At 41.6% G+C, this 17,773-nt stretch overlaps 1 protein-coding gene and 2 long non-coding RNA genes across 7 annotated transcripts in view, besides 1 other annotated feature; 2 read left to right on the plus strand and 1 right to left on the minus strand.

Moving 5' to 3' along the window:
• LOC124903521 (uncharacterized) overlaps positions 1-14,557 on the plus strand; it is a 20,957-nt gene extending 6,400 nt beyond the window's left edge. Inside the window, exon 2 of the long non-coding RNA XR_007064701.1 lies at positions 158-14,557. This is a non-coding gene — a long non-coding RNA (uncharacterized LOC124903521). The remainder of the gene's footprint in view (positions 1-157) is intronic.
• Positions 1-17,773, plus strand: part of THSD4 (thrombospondin type 1 domain containing 4) — a 686,490-nt gene that overhangs the window by 180,353 nt on the left and 488,364 nt on the right. The gene's annotated exons all lie outside the window — the stretch shown is intronic.
• The window catches only part of LOC124903520 (uncharacterized), a 15,761-nt gene continuing 11,314 nt past the window's right edge, over positions 13,327-17,773 (minus strand). Inside the window, exon 2 of the long non-coding RNA XR_007064700.1 lies at positions 13,327-17,673. This is a non-coding gene — a long non-coding RNA (uncharacterized LOC124903520). The remainder of the gene's footprint in view (positions 17,674-17,773) is intronic.
• Positions 17,615-17,773: part of an enhancer, noted in NCBI's record as "P300/CBP strongly-dependent group 1 enhancer chr15:71587200-71588399 (GRCh37/hg19 assembly coordinates)", that runs on past the window's edge. NCBI's record gives its function as "activates an origin of replication core promoter dependent on BRD2, BRD4, P300/CBP, MED14 and CDK7 cofactors, with strong dependence on P300/CBP, by STARR-seq in HCT116 cells {active_cell/tissue: HCT116}" and the evidence as "EXISTENCE:reporter gene assay evidence [ECO:0000049][PMID:35650434]".

Consider the following 17,773-nt stretch of genomic DNA (forward strand, 5'->3'; position numbering starts at 1 on the left):
TCCCGAGGAGCTGGGATTACAGGCGCCCGCCACCACGCCCACCTAATGTTTGTATTTGTAGTAGAGACAGGGTTTTACCATGTCGGCTAGGTTGGTCTCAAACTCTCGACCTCAGGTGGTCTGCTCACCTTGGCCTCCCAAAGTGCTGGGATTACAGGTGTGAGCCGCCGTGCCTGGCCTGTATCTGAATTATTGTTTCCAAACCCAGCTGCCTTCAGCCTAAACAGTGGCAAGCACTTGTCATCATATCCTGAAGTCATAGACATAATTATCACACCTCTTAGCTGCAAATCTAGGCTTCACCATCAGTTAACTGTTTGAGGCCCTTTTACTTAGTAACCCAAATACTTGGTAATTGAGTATATGTAGGGATATATTTTTCTTTAAGATTACTACGTGTGACATACATTACCCTGGAATAGAATGCTCTCATTCACAGCCATTTCTGTTTAACGTGGGAGACATTTCTGGGTTTTTGCTTCTCTCTGTCTTTCCTATTCTGTGACTGTCACTGCTCTATTGGAATCACTTTTCTCCTGGTGGTGTCCAGTGATCTTTGGATGGTCCACTGAAGGTAGATACCTCCCAGCCCTTTCTGTGCTGGGACTAAGATGGCACATACAGTATTCTGTAGCTCCCTCTGGCCAAAGCAGAAGCTATCATCACTACCCACTGTGTAAGATTCCTCCTGTACAGCAGCACCCTTCACTGGGTAGTGCTTAGTTTTTAATCTATATTTTTTATTCTTTCTTTTGGATTTCCAAATATAAAAATACCACCACTACTGCCTCCCGCCAGCACTCCGCCTTGTGAGGAAAGCACTGTGTAACTTTGTTGACAAATGTCTGCTTAATTATGTTTAATGATTCAGAAATAAAACAGGGAGAAGTCCCACATTTTAATTTCAAACTAAAGACTGCTAGAAGCCAACAGAATTTTTGTTTGCTTGTTTTTGTTTTGTTTTGCTGAGACAGGGTCTCACTCTGTCACCCAGGCTGGAGTGCAGTGGCATGATCATGGCTCATTGTAGCCCTGATCTCCCTGGGGTCAGTGATCCTCACACCTCAGCCTCCCAAGTAGCTGGGAATACAGCCATGCACTATACATTTTTGTACTTTTTATAGAGACAGGGTTTTGCCATGTTGCCCAGCTGGTCTTGAACTCCTAGGCTCAAGCAATCCACCTGCCTCAACCTGCCCCGATACAGATTTTTAAAATGTAGGTGATTAATAACTCACTTGTAGCTCTGGAGCTGTTCAACAGAAGTTGCAACTCAAGAACGCTATTTAGTAATTAATAAGAAAAGTTTGGGGAAACAAAGTTCTACATTGTGCTCTGCTGATCTTTTTCTTTGAAATCTTACTGCAGATGCTGTTTCTCTGCGGAGGCAAGGAGGAGGACCTTGACTAGTCTCTGATGGGGCAAGGAGTTTGTTCGATTGTGCCAGTCTGAAATATGGCAGGTTAGAGGGGTGGAGAAAGCCAAGTATTGCAGGGGTAAGAAACGCTAGGCAGACAAACCTTGTCACGAGTTTAGTGAGCCCAGAAGTCAACAAATGAGTAGGGGCAAGAAACTGGCAGGGCGACCATAGATTTCATATGGTTATTGGATTAATTTATTTTTGCTTTAAAATTTTATCGAGTGAGCCATAATTTATTGGGCTGAGTTGAGTTTTGTCCAGGGGATTGAAGTTTGGATTTATCCCAGGAAACAGCTTTCATCTAAAGTCATGCTCCAGCAAATTATGCTGATTTTAAACGGAGCAGCCTATTAAAAATAGGTCAGATTTCAACAGGACAGTGGAACGTTTGGTTTGAGGAAACTTTGAGTACATCAGTAACTATTATGAGATGTTCTGCTGTGATCACGTGGCCTGCCTGTCATCAGGAAAGGGAGAAAATGGAGGGGAGGACTCTTACATTCCAGTCAATTCACGTAGCCTCTTGATGCCAAAAATTAGAAAGGGGAAGCATATCAGATGTGTACAGCTCAAATTCCATTTGTACTTAAGGTTACGTAACAGCTCATAGTGTAATAGCTTTGGCCCGTGTCCAGTGAGCCTGTAGATATTGGCGGCTTTGCGTGCTTAAAAGGCCCCCATCAATCAGTCATGATGCCTGGTCCTACACCCAGTTGCCATGTTTGTTTAAGCCGGCTTTGGAGGTTGTATAAATAGTGTTAGCAACCTGCTCTCCCACCCTTGGTGATAAATGGCACCTTTAAAAATCCTTTGGCACATTCTTAGGATGCGAAGGAGTAGAACTGGATCCATTGACATCTTTGGTGGTTATCAGCCTCCTTCTGCATATGTTCTTGTGGCATCTCCAGGAGGGAAGTGTGGAGGGTGCCTGGGGCATCCGTACCGCCCTGGCTTCTTGGGCCTCTGCAGCCTCTGCCTGTCTGAATCAGCTAGTGGAGTATCCTGCCTCGTGGAAACTGGCAAGGGCTGCACAGGGGCTCCCAAATGAAACTGTGACTCAGGACTGGACAAGCGAATTCGAGTTCACACAGAATGGAAAGGTGTACTTTTTCCCCTTTAAAAAAAAAAAACACAAAGATTGCTACAACATGTTGGCATTGATTCATGCAGTCACTTTTTGTTCTGTACAAACAGTGGCCTTGGGGTAGCAGGAAGAGCAATGGGCAAAGGACACAACCTCAGTGCAAAAGCCCTAGCTCCCTTGGACCACAGTTGCATATCTAGAAAATTAAGAAATAACTTCCTCTTGTTGTGAGGTTCCGGCGAGATGCCATGTGTAAAGCACGTGTATCAGTGTTGGACATTCCACTATTGGTGACTGGGTGCCTGCTGTATGCTTATCCTCCAGGTAGAGCTTCCAGGAGCAAGTGGGACTGGGCGTGTGCAGATGTAGGGGAAGGGTGTTCCAGGCAGAGGGAACCACAGAAGCAAAGGTGCTTGGGCAGAAAATACAGGTGTTAGGAAACATCGGCGAGTGTCCTTCCTCTGGAGCAAAGAACTTATAAAGGGGAACAGTGTAGGACGAGGTTGGCCTGGAAGTTTGGGGCCAGATTATAGAGGGCCTCAAACAGGAGGCTAAAGAAACTGGACTGCCTTTTATGGGCAGTGAGGAGTTATTGGGGTTTGTAAGCAGGAGAGTAGTATGATCAGAGCTGAGCTTCAGGAAAATTAATCTGGCAGCAAAATCCTGCAAAACCTCTTTGGAACAAAAGGGGTGAAAATAAATAATTTGAAAATTTGGCAGTCATGTTTTCAAATATGTTCTGAAATGTGTAAGCTATAATATGTATTTTGAAATGATAACATCTTTCTTTTTCTGTTCCTGCACAGCAGCCAAATTCCTTGTTCATTCTTTATTTCTTTTCCTCATTCCCTCCCTCCCTCCCTCTCTCTCTCATTTTTCCTGTGTTTCTGTTTCTTTCATTGTTTCTCCTGGTTTCAGTGTGTCTTCCTTTCTCACTCACCCAGTCCCTCCCTCACTCTTTGCCCTGTTCTGTCTTTCATGGTTAGTGGTGTTTTGGAGGTGTGTCTAAACCGAGCCAGGGACTGCGAGTTCCAGGACAGTCCTTCAAAAAGGTCCATCTGCTGGTTTTTGTGCCCAGCATACCCGCTGTGAATGGACTACATTACTGAAGGCTGTGAAATCACCCAAATTTGATCTTCAACTCTCATCATACAAAGTATCGGTATTTTGAATTTGTAGGTGAATCATTTGTAATTCATGGGGGCAATGTTTCTACAATTGAACTTTCTGGACTCATCACCAAAAGGTTCAGTCAGCTTCTGTAACTTGTGGGTTAGCAAGTGGATTCTATAGATACGCCCCATGTCCCTGCCCAGGCAAACTTAATAAATGTGTTCAGACCTTAGGTGTTCATGGATTTAACTCACAGGTTTGTGATTCTTTGTGGGTTCCCCTGTGGGTCTGTGGCACAGAGTTGGGCTGAGGTATGAATCCGAGAAGTCTACTTTGCAAGACACATGTTATGGAAAAGGGTCATTTATCCTTATTGTTCTGCGCATTCATGCATTTGTAACAATGCTTGTTAATTAAAACATTGTGTTGTGTCTGTGAAAAACAGCCATCAGGTGAGAGCAACATTTAGTGAAATCTGAAAGTAGGGTTAACTTGTAGTGTGAGGCTATGCACAGGAAAACGCATATGGCTCTCCATAGAAATGTGATTCAAGCGAAAGCTGGGAGCCTCTATAAACATTCTTGTATTTGTGGATCTGGGAATTCAAGAAGGTTTCAGATGTATGCCTCAGGAATGTCAAGAGTCTGCTGTATATCCAAATTTACAAAACAGATAAATTATTGAATGACTATTCAGGTTGCAAAACGATTCTTCATTTTATTAAATATTTACTGCACATTTACCCTAGAGAAGTTCTTTAGTAAATATAGTACTTGATTTACAGAAATTCAGTGCGTATGACTGTTTCTGGATATATGTATTGTGTTAAGTGGGATCCTTTCTCCATAGCATGAAGAAATTTTAAGATAATCTTTTCTCCATTTGATAAATGAGTTTGTATATATGAAAGGCACTTGTTCAGTAATTATAGAGTTGGTTTTTTACCATGAGGAATTTTGTATCTTAGATGACTAATTTTCAAAACTGATAAAAAATGTTCCTATTTGTCGTGTTCAGCCATCAGCAGTTTCACTGTCCTTTGGCTTTGGCTCATGTAGTATAACCATTAAAACCCTGACTCTGATGTTCACCTGCTCCGGGACTAAAGGCCTCAGATTCCCCATTAGGGAAAGGAGGATAATAGTAGTATCCCCCTCAAAGGTTTGGGAGAAGATTAAATGAAATAGTTCCTACACCTGACACCTGGTATGGGCTCAATAAATGTTAGCTATTATTACTATTTACTGTTATTTTTCTAGTCCCAAAGATGAGGTCAGCTAACTTATGCTGAGTAATATTTTATTTCCAAAGGAGTGTTTTTTATTCAACTTTTCACATTTTGATTTTGTTCTCTCTGTGGACTATTGCGCATTTTCCCAAATGAGGAATGTTTGGCATCTCACTTAAACCGTGGCGTCCAGCAGTCACAGGAAATGCTGCCTTATTTGGTGCTTGGATTAAAAGTGTTCTCAGAGTTCACTGATTTATATCCCTGTCCAGCTGTACCATAACCTGGTATAGTTGTAAGAAATAAAATTTAAAAAAGGAAGAAATAGGAAAAAAGAAGACAAGGAGATGTGTTACTTGTTTGTAAATGTGAGGTTGATCCTGTAGCTGTCAACAGTCCTGTTTCTAGGGGTAGCCATTGCTTGTCCAGTGCTGCCTTGGTTCCGACATATCCTAGCTAAGCTCTGCTCCTTGACTTTGACGGTCCACATAGGCCAACACCCACAGTTAACCCACACTTACTTTCCCACCATTCCACTTTACACTCTACCAAGCACTTCACTCTGAACTTGCTCATGTAGTGACTTCTGCTAGGATTCCTGCCAGTGCTGTTCATTTACCCAGATTCTATCTAATCTTCAGGGTCCAACTCAAAGCTTACCAGATCCATGAAGGCATCCCCAACTACCTGACTCCTCACTGATTTCTTCCTTATTCAACTTGCGTATCCTTTTCAGCCTGGGCCCTATAACAGAGTACCCTATTTTAATTAATTGTAGTCACAATAATACTTACAAACATGCACATAAAGTTCTCTAGCCCCCAGAGGATTTTCATGTATATTATTTCTTTGACCTGTGAGGTGGGCAGGTTAGATTTTTTTTTTTTTTTTTTTTTGAGACGGAGTTTTGCACTGTCACCCAGGCTGGAGTGCAGTGGCACAATCTCGGCTCACTGCAGCCTCCACCTCCCGGGTTCAAACGATTCTTCTGCCTCAGCCTCCCGAGTAGCTGGGACTACAGGCGCGTGCCACCACACCCGGTTAATGTTTTGTATTTTTAGTAGAGACGGGGTTTCACTGTGTTAGCCGGGATGGTCTCCATCTCCTGATGTCACGATCCGCCAGCCTCGGCCTCCCAAAGTGCTGGGATTACAGGCGTGAGCCATCGCGCCCGGCCAGGTCAGATCTTTGTAACTCTGTTGTATACAGTTGCTTGGTCAAGCTCATATGGCCAATGAGACTAAGAACTTGAACACACCAAGTCTACCAGCCCTGTTGCTCACATATGGTTTTACGTCACTTATTTCTTGAATGTTAATATTAAATGTTAATATTATCTCCTTAAGTAGTCTGTAGTATTTTTGATGTTGAGAGAGATGTCTTTTACTTCAGAACCTGTTAATGGCGTTTGACCCTGAACCCAGCTCATTAAAGACTTGGTCCCTAATAGTAGTAATGTTTATTGAATATTTACTATGTGGCAGGCAGTGTGCTGGGCTGCTTTACAAGAAGCATCTCACACAGTCCTCCGAGCACTTCTGTAAGACAAAGGACATTATTAAGTTTAGGTTTAGGGAGGTTTAGCAACTTGCTAAGATCAGATAGATCCAACAGCTAGTAAGCGGCTTTAACTCATCACAAAGATTGGTCATCATGGGAAATTTTTTGCCCTATTTTTAAAATTCATATTTCTACATAGCTTAAAAGTGGAAGGTATCGTTGACAGTGGGCTGCATTGCTGGGTTTGGGGGCAAGGGGAAGATCTGCTCTGTTGAGAGCTCAATGCCCAGGGATGGTAAATGGAGACTCTGGTGGGGGAGGGAAAGAGCTAGCCCTTTGTCCTGTTGGGATTCTTTACTTTAGAAAAGAGCAGCCTTATGTATCTCTTGCCAGAATTTCACATTTTAGTTGGATTAAATTATGTCAGTACCATCATATTCTACTTAAACAAGAGGTACAATGCCTTTTCTCTTAAGTGTCCTTAGCTCTAGACTCGAATGGATGAGAACCCTGGAAATGTGGCCCCAAGTAGTACAAAGAAAGACTAGAGATGTCTACACATTCTTATGAATGCGTGTGGGATTTTCATTGTGCACAGTAGTGTATGCCTGTTTGTCTTAATAGAAAAATGCTTTTATATTCCTTGCTATTGAGGAAAAAAGATATGATTTTTGGATATTTTAAAAATTGGGTTGATAAAAAGAGTGCTAATGCTACATTATAATAAGTTCTGGGTCCAGGCAGCCTCTCTCTCTTTGTTGGTGTTATATATTGAGAACAGAAATTCATACACATAAGTGTTGGGGCATTCCACACAGGGAGATATTCAGCATGTTGCCAAAGAAGTGGTTCCATGCTACATTTTCAGGCATAGGAATTACATATAGGAATTTCGGTAGGTATTTCTTCATGCTGAGAAGCCAAGTTACTTCTATAATATCATGGACCCAAAGTGTTTCTGATTTCAGTAACGACAACTGTTGCTCTTTATTTTGACCCATGTAAATAATTATCTTGTCTTCACATGTAAATAACCTAACTCAAAGACTTACAGACCTCTGGATCTGAGCTCTTCATGAAAAACTCTCAAACCTTTTCATATTAGCTCTTCTTTGCAATGGTGGGTTTCAGCTATGAAAGAAAAAAGTTTCCTAAATAAGTCAATTTCTGAATAATAAAATAATTCATTGTATCCAGGTCTTTACTTTTGTGTTTTGAGAACATTTGTTTTCTCATTAAAAAAAAACAATTCAACAGTAAGTTTAAGAACACTAGTCATGACCTACCCAGTCCTTCCCCCTCCCCATAGCTAGTATTCGAGTGGATAAATAAAGCAAGCTTTCCTAGGAGGCACTTTTTATTGCAATGTTTCTACAAACTAATATTCAACCACTGTCTGCATTGACTCGTTTCTTTTTTTGAGTGTGTTGTTCTCTACTGAAGCTGTCTGTGCCTTCACCAGCCTCTGTCCAGGCTGCTATTCTCAATTTTAACCATCCGCTCTACATCTTCAGAGATGTAAGTACCATTCTTACTATGAATGGAATGGAATAATAATACTTGATTAAATATTACTCCATTAAATAATTTACAGCTAAGCATTTTGCACACTAATAAGCCTTCACAAATAATATTATAAACAGAACAAGCAAAGATCATTAAATGGACTCATCACTAATATAAAGCCTCCCAGCCAACTGGAAGGTCCTGTGACTATTCCTTCACTTGTGTCTGTTGAGTAGTTTAAAATGTGTTGTTTGGTGGTATTATTGATTTTTGGCTTGGCTGTCTCTTTTTGCTCCAAACCAGGATAGTTTGTGTCTACATGACAGGGCTTCACCAAATGTTCTCATGAATTGCGCTTCACCTCCTAAAGTGTTTCTGAAACTAACTCCAAATAAAATTTCAAGCAACTAAGTACTTCACTAATTGTTTTCCAATGAATTGTTCCAAACCCCAACTTTTCTCTTTTATTAAAAAACAGCCGGGTGTGGTGGCTCATGCCTGTAATCCCAGCACTTTGGGAGGCCAAGGTGGGTGGATCACTAGGTCAGGAGATTGAGACCAGTCTGGCCAATATGGTAAAACCCTGTCTCTACTAAAAATACAAAAATTAGCTGGGCGTAGTGGTGTGCACCTGTAGTCCCAGCTATTCAGGAGACTGAGGCAGAAGAATTGCTTGAACCTGGGAGGCAGAGGTTGCAGTGAGCCGAAATTGTGCTACTGCACTCCAGCCTGGGTGACAGAGCGAGACTCCGTCTCAAAAAAAAAAAAAAAAAAAAAAAAAAAAAAAATTCTAGTGATTTTTCTTTAAAAATGTGCGTAGTTTCTTTATTAATATCATTGCAAGAATTTTTTTTTTCATTCAGCTAATACTCAGGTTTTTTTCTACCAATTTTTTCAAAGTGAGGTTTAGGCGCATTTATATATCCACAGTGATAAACACTTTATTTGATGTATTTGTTCTACGCATCTTAGATTGTGACCAGTTTACTCTAAGTTGGGTTTGGGGTCATGCTTTTACTGTTGTTGTTACTATTACTGTTATCTGTTATCAATTTTATTTTTAACTTTTAAGTTCAGAGATACATGTGCAGGATGTGTAGGTTTGTTACATAGCTAAATGTGCGTCATGGGGGTTTGTTGTACAGATTACTTCATCACCCAGGTATTAAGCCTAGGATCCATTAGTTATTTTTCCTGATTCTCTTCCTCCTCCCACCCTCTGCCCTTCCATAGGCCCCTGTGTATGGTGTTCCCCTCTATGTATCCATGTGTTCTCATAATTTAGCTCCCACTTATAAGTGAGAACATGCAGTATTTGGTTTTCTGTTCCTGTGTTAGTTTGCTAAAAATGGCCTGCAGCTCCATCCATGTCCCTGCAAAGCACATGATCTTGTTCTTTTTTGGCTGCATAGTATTCCATGGTGTGTATGTACCACATTTTCTTTAGTCAGTCTATCCTTGATGGGCATTTGGGTTCCATGGCTTTGCTATTGTGAATAGTGCTGCAATGAACATATGCATGCATGTGTCTTTATAACAGAACGATTTACATTCCTTTGGCTATATACCCAGTAATGGGATTGCTGGGTCGAATGGTATTTCTGACTTTAGGTCTTTGAGGAATTGCCACACTGTCTTCCACAATGGCTGAACTAATTTACACTCCCACCAACAGTGTATAAGCATTTCTTTTTCTCCACAACCTCACCAGCATCTGTTATTTTTTGTCACTTTGATAATAGCCATTCTGACTGGTGTGAGTTGGTGTCTCATTGTGGCTTTGATTTACATTTCTCTAATGATCAGTGATGCTGAGCTTTTAAAAAATATGCTTGTTATTGTCAATTTTATAGTAGGGAAATTTCACTATAACTTTTGCTGATGTGGGGTTATTCCGAATTTTGCCTATTATCGTTCACATTTTTGGTCATGTATACCTCAAATTTTCAGTCTTTAACAAACAACATTCCTATGAGTAAACATATTCCTGTTTAAGAAGAATGATATTTGAGTCAAAGTCGTAGTCACAAAGAAATTAATACTAAACAGTGTGACTGCCTGGAAGATATGCCCGACAAAATGAAATACTTAGGATGTAAAAGTACAGGAGTAGACTTTTGGGTGGCTTAGTATGGCAGTGTTAGATGCTTGTCTTTACAGAAGGAAATGGGAGAAAGTTCATTGTTTTTATCATTTCATCATGCTGTGTTAATACTTGATATTTAGAAAATTGTACGTGTCCAAGAAAAACTGAAAATAATCTTATTATCCCATGATGTTTTTATATAAACCTACAGATCTAGACTTTTACCCATTGCTATATCTGTAATAAGCATTATGGAATAATGCTGATGTTCTTCCATTCTTTGATATGCATGAGGATATTTTTAAATTTAGATGTTTTATATCCAAAACAGTTCCAGACACTACCCGCAAAAATAATCAAGCTTCACGTGGTGAAGAGAACGAGGGATATGTTCCTGGGAAAAGCCCTTAGCCAGAAGGCTTAAAACCAGATAGAAACTTTAAAAATAGCCTTTTGTGAGGCAAATGTAACTTGCTGAAAATCGTCTTGCACAGTTTTGAAACTAGGATGAACCCCCTGCCACCCAGGAGTCCAGGACCACTCTGTGGTCTGATGCCAGGAGGATGTACTTGCATATTTCAGATGCTTCATATTTTGTTTTTGATGTTCTGAGCTGGTAGAGTTGGGTGCAGCTCTTCTTGGATTGATAAACCATGTTCCCAGATGTTGAATTCAAGAAGGAATTTTTAACTCTTCCATGTTTAAAAATGATTTCTATGGCTGAGAGCTAATACACTCCCTCAAATCAATTTGGGAAATTTTTTTGAGAAGAAATTGAGTCTTTTTCACATTTGAGTAACTTTATACACGACGCGCAACATGCCCTGTAAATATAGATAGGCCACCTACAAAGTGCACTGGGTGATATTTTATACTGCAGATGTTCTAGTTTGCACCTGATGAAACATGTAAAATGCTTATCAAAAAAAATGAATTATACAGTCCCACACAACCGTTTGCTTGGTATTTGCTAAATTTGATTCGGCCTTTAGATGATAAAAATGAACCAGTCCACAGTAAACACTTAATGTGAAAAGAGATAACGGCAAACTGGAAACTTTCTTATCCTGTCATTTTGATCCATTTTTGAAAGAAAGCATCCTGACAGCAACAAGGAAATACCAGCTTGGAATTCATACCTATTTGATTTGGCAAATGTGAATAAACTATTCTTTCAGAGGATCCAGGAAGTGAAAACATGGGCCAGTGACTGAAAAACCACCTTAGAGATTATCTGATTAACTCTCTCATTGTACAGATGGGGAAACTGATGCTCAGAGGTGTCTAATGAGCTTCTAGGAACAAGTGAGGGTGGGGGCTGAAAGTCAAAATAAATACCCTGACTTATCTTACCATTCCATCTCCTGCTGGTCAAATCCAGCTGGAAACCAAAGGGCAAGGGCTCCTTTCTGGGACATAGAATGGGACAAATAATGGCAGAGAATAGATCCGGGAAGGCAGAGAACAATCAACACAGTGATTACAGAATAAAAAGATCCTTTAGGAATGCAGTCATCTGTTTATTCAGTAAATTTCCGTATCTTACTAATCACAACAGCATCCACGTACACTTAAAATAGTGCCTATATGTATGTGTGATACTTGTTTACATAACAAGCTTGCTGATGTTTGGTGCAGTGTATGGGTTCAGGCTTCTCTGACAACAATACCAAGACCTTCCGGGGATCCACGGTCTTCTGCATGGGGGATTTCTGCAGAAGGAAATATAACACTCAATGGACAAATCCCCAGCTGGAAGAGGTCTCTGTTTATTAGTACTGCTTTTTGAATATAAAATCAACTCTATCTTTTAGGAAGATAGCTAAATGTTGCTGGAAGTTGGAATGAGAGTTTTAATTACGAGCTAGACACTGTATGAGACATCTTTCCTGTGCTGCCTCAGGTCCTCTTGACTGTAATCAACTCAGGAGTCTTGGCTCAGTCCCTGTGAAAACTGTCCTCATGTGGACAAATGCCACAGCTCCTAGCCTCATGTCTGCCACCCTGGGGCTCCCTGTTGACTCTGAGGGGCAAGACTCCCAGGACCCCATGGATGCTCAGCCATGTGCAACCAGGAGGGTAGGGAGGTGGCACTGCTGGGAGATGGGAATTAGTGAAGTTCTTTTGCTTACCCCTCTCTGAACGGACTGTCCTGATGCTGCCTTTATGATGGTTCCTCATGATCCCAGGCTCAGTTGCACTGGACGCCAAGCAGAGGTCAGTTGGGGAACATGCCCCATCCTGTTTTCTCTCCCTCCTTCCCTGCCGCACTCTCCATTGCTCTCCACCCTGAATAAAGTAGTGGCTCTGCTTCAGGGAACCCAGGCTGAGATAGATACCAGGGCCTCCCTTTTGGGGGTTCTCTTTTGAGGTCCAGTTTTCAAAGGAACTGATTGGGCAACTGCAAAATGAGTATGTGAAGACATTAAGTGGACCAATTTGTAATTCGATTATTATAATTATCTGGATACCTCTTTGGCTCAAAAGGCAAATGTTGATCTGTTTTAAGAACAGAGAATCATAACGCGTAGAGCCCTAACCTGCCTTCCTAGCCTCACCTGATGCCTTCTCAACCCTCATCTAGGGCTTATTCCTTTCCTTTATGACTTGCCAGGAACAAGGGAAGAATAGGAAAAGTCAAAATAAATACCCTGGCTTCTCTTGCCATTTCATCTCCTGCTTGCTGCTAGCTTCCTTCTGACAAGGGAGAAGTAACTGGGATTCACTTTTCCATTTTCCTAGCTGGATGATCCCTCCCTGACAATCCAGAATGAGATGATGGTGCCCGGGCATGGGGGGAGTATCCACGTGTGCTGATACCTCCTCACCTACCCTTCCCCAGAGTAGATACACATTGCCCCCAAAGAACATTTCACAGTTCTTTATTTCCAGCAGTAGATGGAATCGGGAGAAGTGTATTGGAAGTTTTGCTTGGGATCCAGCTGCCTTAGTCTCCCCTACTGTGTCTTGTTACTACATAGTGCTGGTGACCATGGGCAACAGTGTATGAGACATGTCTGTAGCCTTAGGCCTGGTGCTGGCACAGCAGGTCCTCTGTTCCTGGCTAAGTAGCTTCAAAGCTGGCTCTCCTGGAGGTTCTGCGAGCTGCCTGATGTCCTTTAAATATATTTTCCCCTGGAACCAGCTAGGGTGGGTTCTATTTGCAACAGACCAAGAGAGCACTTTTAAAATCCTTGAAATTTTATGCGAAGTCCCAGGCTTTCATTTGTATGTCATTTAGATTTTTTTTTTCCCCTCTGTTTGTCCTGTTAGTGTCTCTTTGGGATCTCCACATCTATCAACGGATTGCTTGCATTGCTTTTAAAAACTGTTGTTTACAATGACATTCAACACTTGTAAAAGTTATTTGCTGCCAAGAGGAAACTAAATGCATTGTAATTAAATTTATTTCAGGCTTTGATTACTAAGAAGTGCAGAGATACATCATTCACTTGTGCTTAATTTAAAAAGTATTTTGGTCATAATACATAAATTAGTTACCTTTGTAGTTTGCTTATAACCCATAAGACACTCAACTGGATAAAAAGCTGCTGGCTACAAATAAGTAACCTTGTCATCACATGCTAAAGGTGGCTAATAGGTTTGTCCCTACTGCCAACTATAATCAACTTATTTTTAACATGTATAGTCACATTGTAATTGATGTCTGGAAACCTGGTTTCCTTTTTTCCTTTTTTTTTTTTTTTTTGTTAACTTTTATTTATAGACACATGCATATAATTTAAAAGTCAAATAGCCCAAAAAGACTTATAATGAAAAACATATTCCCCCAAATTCCATCCCACTCCCCAGAGGCAAGTGTCTTCTGGCATTTACCTTAATTTTTCTAGACAATGTGAATTATCCAGTTAGGATATTCCTTCTTGACTTCTTGTAAGGTAACTGGATTGAGCACTCCTATATCAACCACTCCCCCAGCTTCACTTTGGCACCCTAATCACCCCCATGTAGTTACAACTGAACTTTTAAATAGTTATTGTTTACATTATGACTATGGAAAAAATAGTTCACTACAGTTCTTTCATATGTTATCACATATATCACTTTCTAAACATTTCTATATATCTGTATTAGTCAGGGTTCTCCAGAGAAACAAAACCAATAGTATGCATATATAGAAATAGGTTCATTATAAGGAACAGGCTCACATAGTTAGGGAGGCTGAGAAGTCCCAAGATCTACATTTGGCAAGTTGGAGACCCAGGAGAGTCGATGTTGTGTTCCAGTCTGAAAGCCTGAAGTCTTGAGACCCAGCCAATAATTCAGTTCAAGTCTGAAGGCAGGAAGAGACAAATTCCAACACAAGCAATCAGGCAGGAGGAGTTCCCTCTTACTTGAGGGAGGGTCAGCCTTTTTGTTCTATTCTGGCCTTAAGCTGATTGGATGATGCCCACCCACCTTGAGGAGGGCCGTCTGCTTTATTCAGTCTACTGATTCCAATGTTAATCTTGTCCAGAAACACCCTCAAAGACACACATATTATTACCAGAATAATGCTTGACCAAATATCTGGGCACCCTATGACCCAGTGAAGTTGACACATAAAATTAATCACTGCAATATCTTTCTGACATCTATCCATTTTTCTGAGTACTCAAACACATAACCTACCATTTGCATTTTGCTTTTTCTTGGAGGCCTCCTACCCTTAGTCTTCCACCCTCCTACTCCAGTCTGGACTAGTTGTGTTCTAGGCTGGGAGCATAGCTAGCATCCTCTATTGTGGTGGCCCCTGTCTACCACATCCTGCTTTCTTGGTTACTGAAAGCACATCCTCTAATAGCTTCTCAAGAAAGGGTGCGAGGGAAGTATTGTTTTAGCTTCTGCATATCTAAAATGTGTTGATTGCACCCTAGACTTGACATAATTAAACCAGTTTTGGAAATCAGTGTTGGAAATCATTTGTTTCTTAGAGTTCTGAAGGTATTCCACCATTGTCTTCCAGCATTCTGCTTGTGGTAAGACCAATGCCATCCTGATGCTCTTTGTTTTGTGTGTGATTGAATTTTGCCTCTGGATGCTTTTCAGGTCTTCGGTTGATTTCTGGCATTCCGGTACGTTGTGATGAGGTATCTCGGGGAGGGCCTTTGAATATCCATTGTCTCCTATGCATCCCTTTTGATGAACCCTTTCAAGGTAGAAACTCATGCTTGTGTAGTTTCTTCCAATATTTCTTTGATACTTTCCTTCTTTGTATATTCTCTGTTCTTTATTTCTGGAATGCTGTTTTGGACAGCATCTCAAATTTCCTTGTCTTTCCTATTTTCTGTTTTTATTTTTGGTTCTCCTTTCTGTGGTATTTGCTCGACTGTCTTCTAAATTCTCTGTTGAATTCTTTAATTTTTATGACCATGTAATTTCTAAGACCTTTCTAGTTTCTGATTATTTCCTTCACATAGCATTCTGTTCTTGTTTCATGGATGCACTATCTTAACATACTTTAATTAACATTCTTTAAGAATATAACAGGATTTTTTTTTTTTTTTTTTTGAGACGGAGTCTTGCTCTGTCGCCCAGGCTGGAGCACAGTGGTGCGATCTCAGCTCACTGCAAGCTCCGCCTCCCGGGTTCACACCATTCTCCTGCCTCAGCCTCCCGAGTAGCTGGGACTACAGGCACCCACCACCACGCCCGGCTGATTTTTTGTATTTTTAGTAGAGACAGGGTTTCACTGTGTTAGCCAGGATGGTCTTGATCTCCTGACCTTGTGATCCGCCCATCTTGGCCTCCCAAAGTGCTGGGATTACGGGCATGAGCCACCGCACCTGGCCAAATATAACAGGACTTTTGAAGTTCTTTTTATTTTCCCTGCCTATCCCCTCACCTCCAAGTTCTTTTTGTGTTTGTGTTAACCCTGCCTTTCTTGTCAGGGGCTTTCCCCAGATGGCTGTCAGCTTTTAGAGTATATCCATATTGGACAGGTCGAAAGTTCTACGTGCATGTGCTGCAGATGCCCTGTGCCGTGCAGCTCAGCATGCATAGGTGGGGTAGTTGGTTGATGAGCTTTTCTTTAGGAGAACAGATTTTGAGCTATCTTTTTTTGTTGGAACCCTGCACACAACTGTCATTATGTAGATGGTTTTCCTCTCAGGTGGTTGGTTTTCTCCAGAGAAGAACCCTTGAATCTCCTGCCTGTGGAGGTGGACGTGTGGTTGGTGTTCTGGGTGCCCCTTGCCCTGAGCTCTGTTCTCCATGGTGCCTGTTTCCTGGGTCTGCAGCCCCTTCTCAGTTTCTCTGAAGAGTAAACCTCTCCCCTGCTTGGGGAGGAGCATGGGGGTTACGTAGTAGCCTGGCTGCATAACATGGGCTTAGTAGCTCAGTTTTCCATCATGAACCAGAGCCTCATCTTTCATGGTTCCTGTGCCTCCGAGGGCTGGGCTACTGGGGTGTCTGTCAGTCCAGATGGCTTTGTTCTCAAGTTTCCTCCACAGTGGATATGAATGTTTGCAACTTACACTCAATTACAACGCTTTCCTCTACTTTTCTCCAAGTTTGCTGAAATCTTTATTTGTGGATATCTCCTCTCTTTTTGCTTTGTCCTCATAGGTTAAAACGTTTTAAAATTCCCTAACAGTAGGAAATTTAGTAGGGTTTTGGAAGGGAGAGGAGGTGTAAGATGGTCACTCTTCCATGTTTAACTGGAAGTGGAAAGTCTAGGCTTTTGCTTCAGGCCTGGGAGGTGCACATGAAACAGTCCCTCCCAGTGGCTGCCTGGGGGGTCCCTGAAGGGTGTGAGACCACCGTGAATCCTGGGGCAGGGCACTTGCAGTACATGTGCTATGTGTTTGCTAGTATTGTTTTAGATGTTTGATCTCCTAGCCTTTGCTTTTCTTTGTATTTTTCCTGCTTTAGTCCATTTCCCTTCTAGCTCCTTCTGTTCTCATTTATCTTCTGCTGCTGCTTGGAGTTACATTTTCAGCAAGTCTGTAACACCTCTCTGAACCAAAGGCTCTCAAGTTCATCTTTCTTTCTCCAAGCCTACGCCTGTGCTGCTGTCATGAGTGGCGAGCTTCTGTTTCTTCTGTCTTCTTGTCAGTCCCAAGTGCCCTTTTACAGAGAATGCCTGTTTTTCACTGTCTAGCTCAGTTACCAGGAGTCCCTGTGAATGACACCCACAGGTCCCTCAAAGAAGTCAGATTTCTCTTGGACCTGATAAAGCAAACAAAATGTGACCCAAGCAGGCTGAGTTGGACGGGTCCCTTCTTACCTTCGCCCTCTGCCATGTTGACATTCTTATCTGATGGCACAGGCTGGGAGTTCAGGATCCACTTAGATGGGGTCCGTTCAGGGGATACCAGCGTTCACATTTTTCCTTTTAAGAAAGGGTCTTGGCCTGAATGTTCCCCATCCGGACACAGGCTGCATGTCTCTGTGAGTGTCAAAGCTGCCATGACCATCTCGGTAACCTACTCTTACTCCACAATGTCTATATTCACTGCAGGGCTCTATGATTAGTCCATAATGTAAATGCCTGGCCCAAGACGTATGGCCTGAGTTTATCCAAGGCCCAAACGATTACCAAACATTCCTCTTAGATAGAAGACAGATTTCTTTCCCTTGGCAAAGATCTTCTACTAAGATATGTTACAGGATGTTTTACATTCTCTTGGTCTTATAATAACACCACGCCCAATCCAGTATTTGATGCGTCGGTGGTCACTCGGAAGGTTGTTATTTTAAAAATACTTATTGTTCTCAGTCTGCAGTTCTCACAGCTGTAAAAAAAAAAAAAAAAAATACAGTCTTGTTTCCACCTTTCCAGAGTTTTATGGCACCTGGGAACTGGGATCAAGCTGGGACTGGGTCCAAGATTGG

This window comes from Homo sapiens, chromosome 15, assembly GCF_000001405.40.
Source record: "Homo sapiens chromosome 15, GRCh38.p14 Primary Assembly".
NCBI classification, from domain to species: Eukaryota; Metazoa; Chordata; class Mammalia; order Primates; family Hominidae; genus Homo; species Homo sapiens.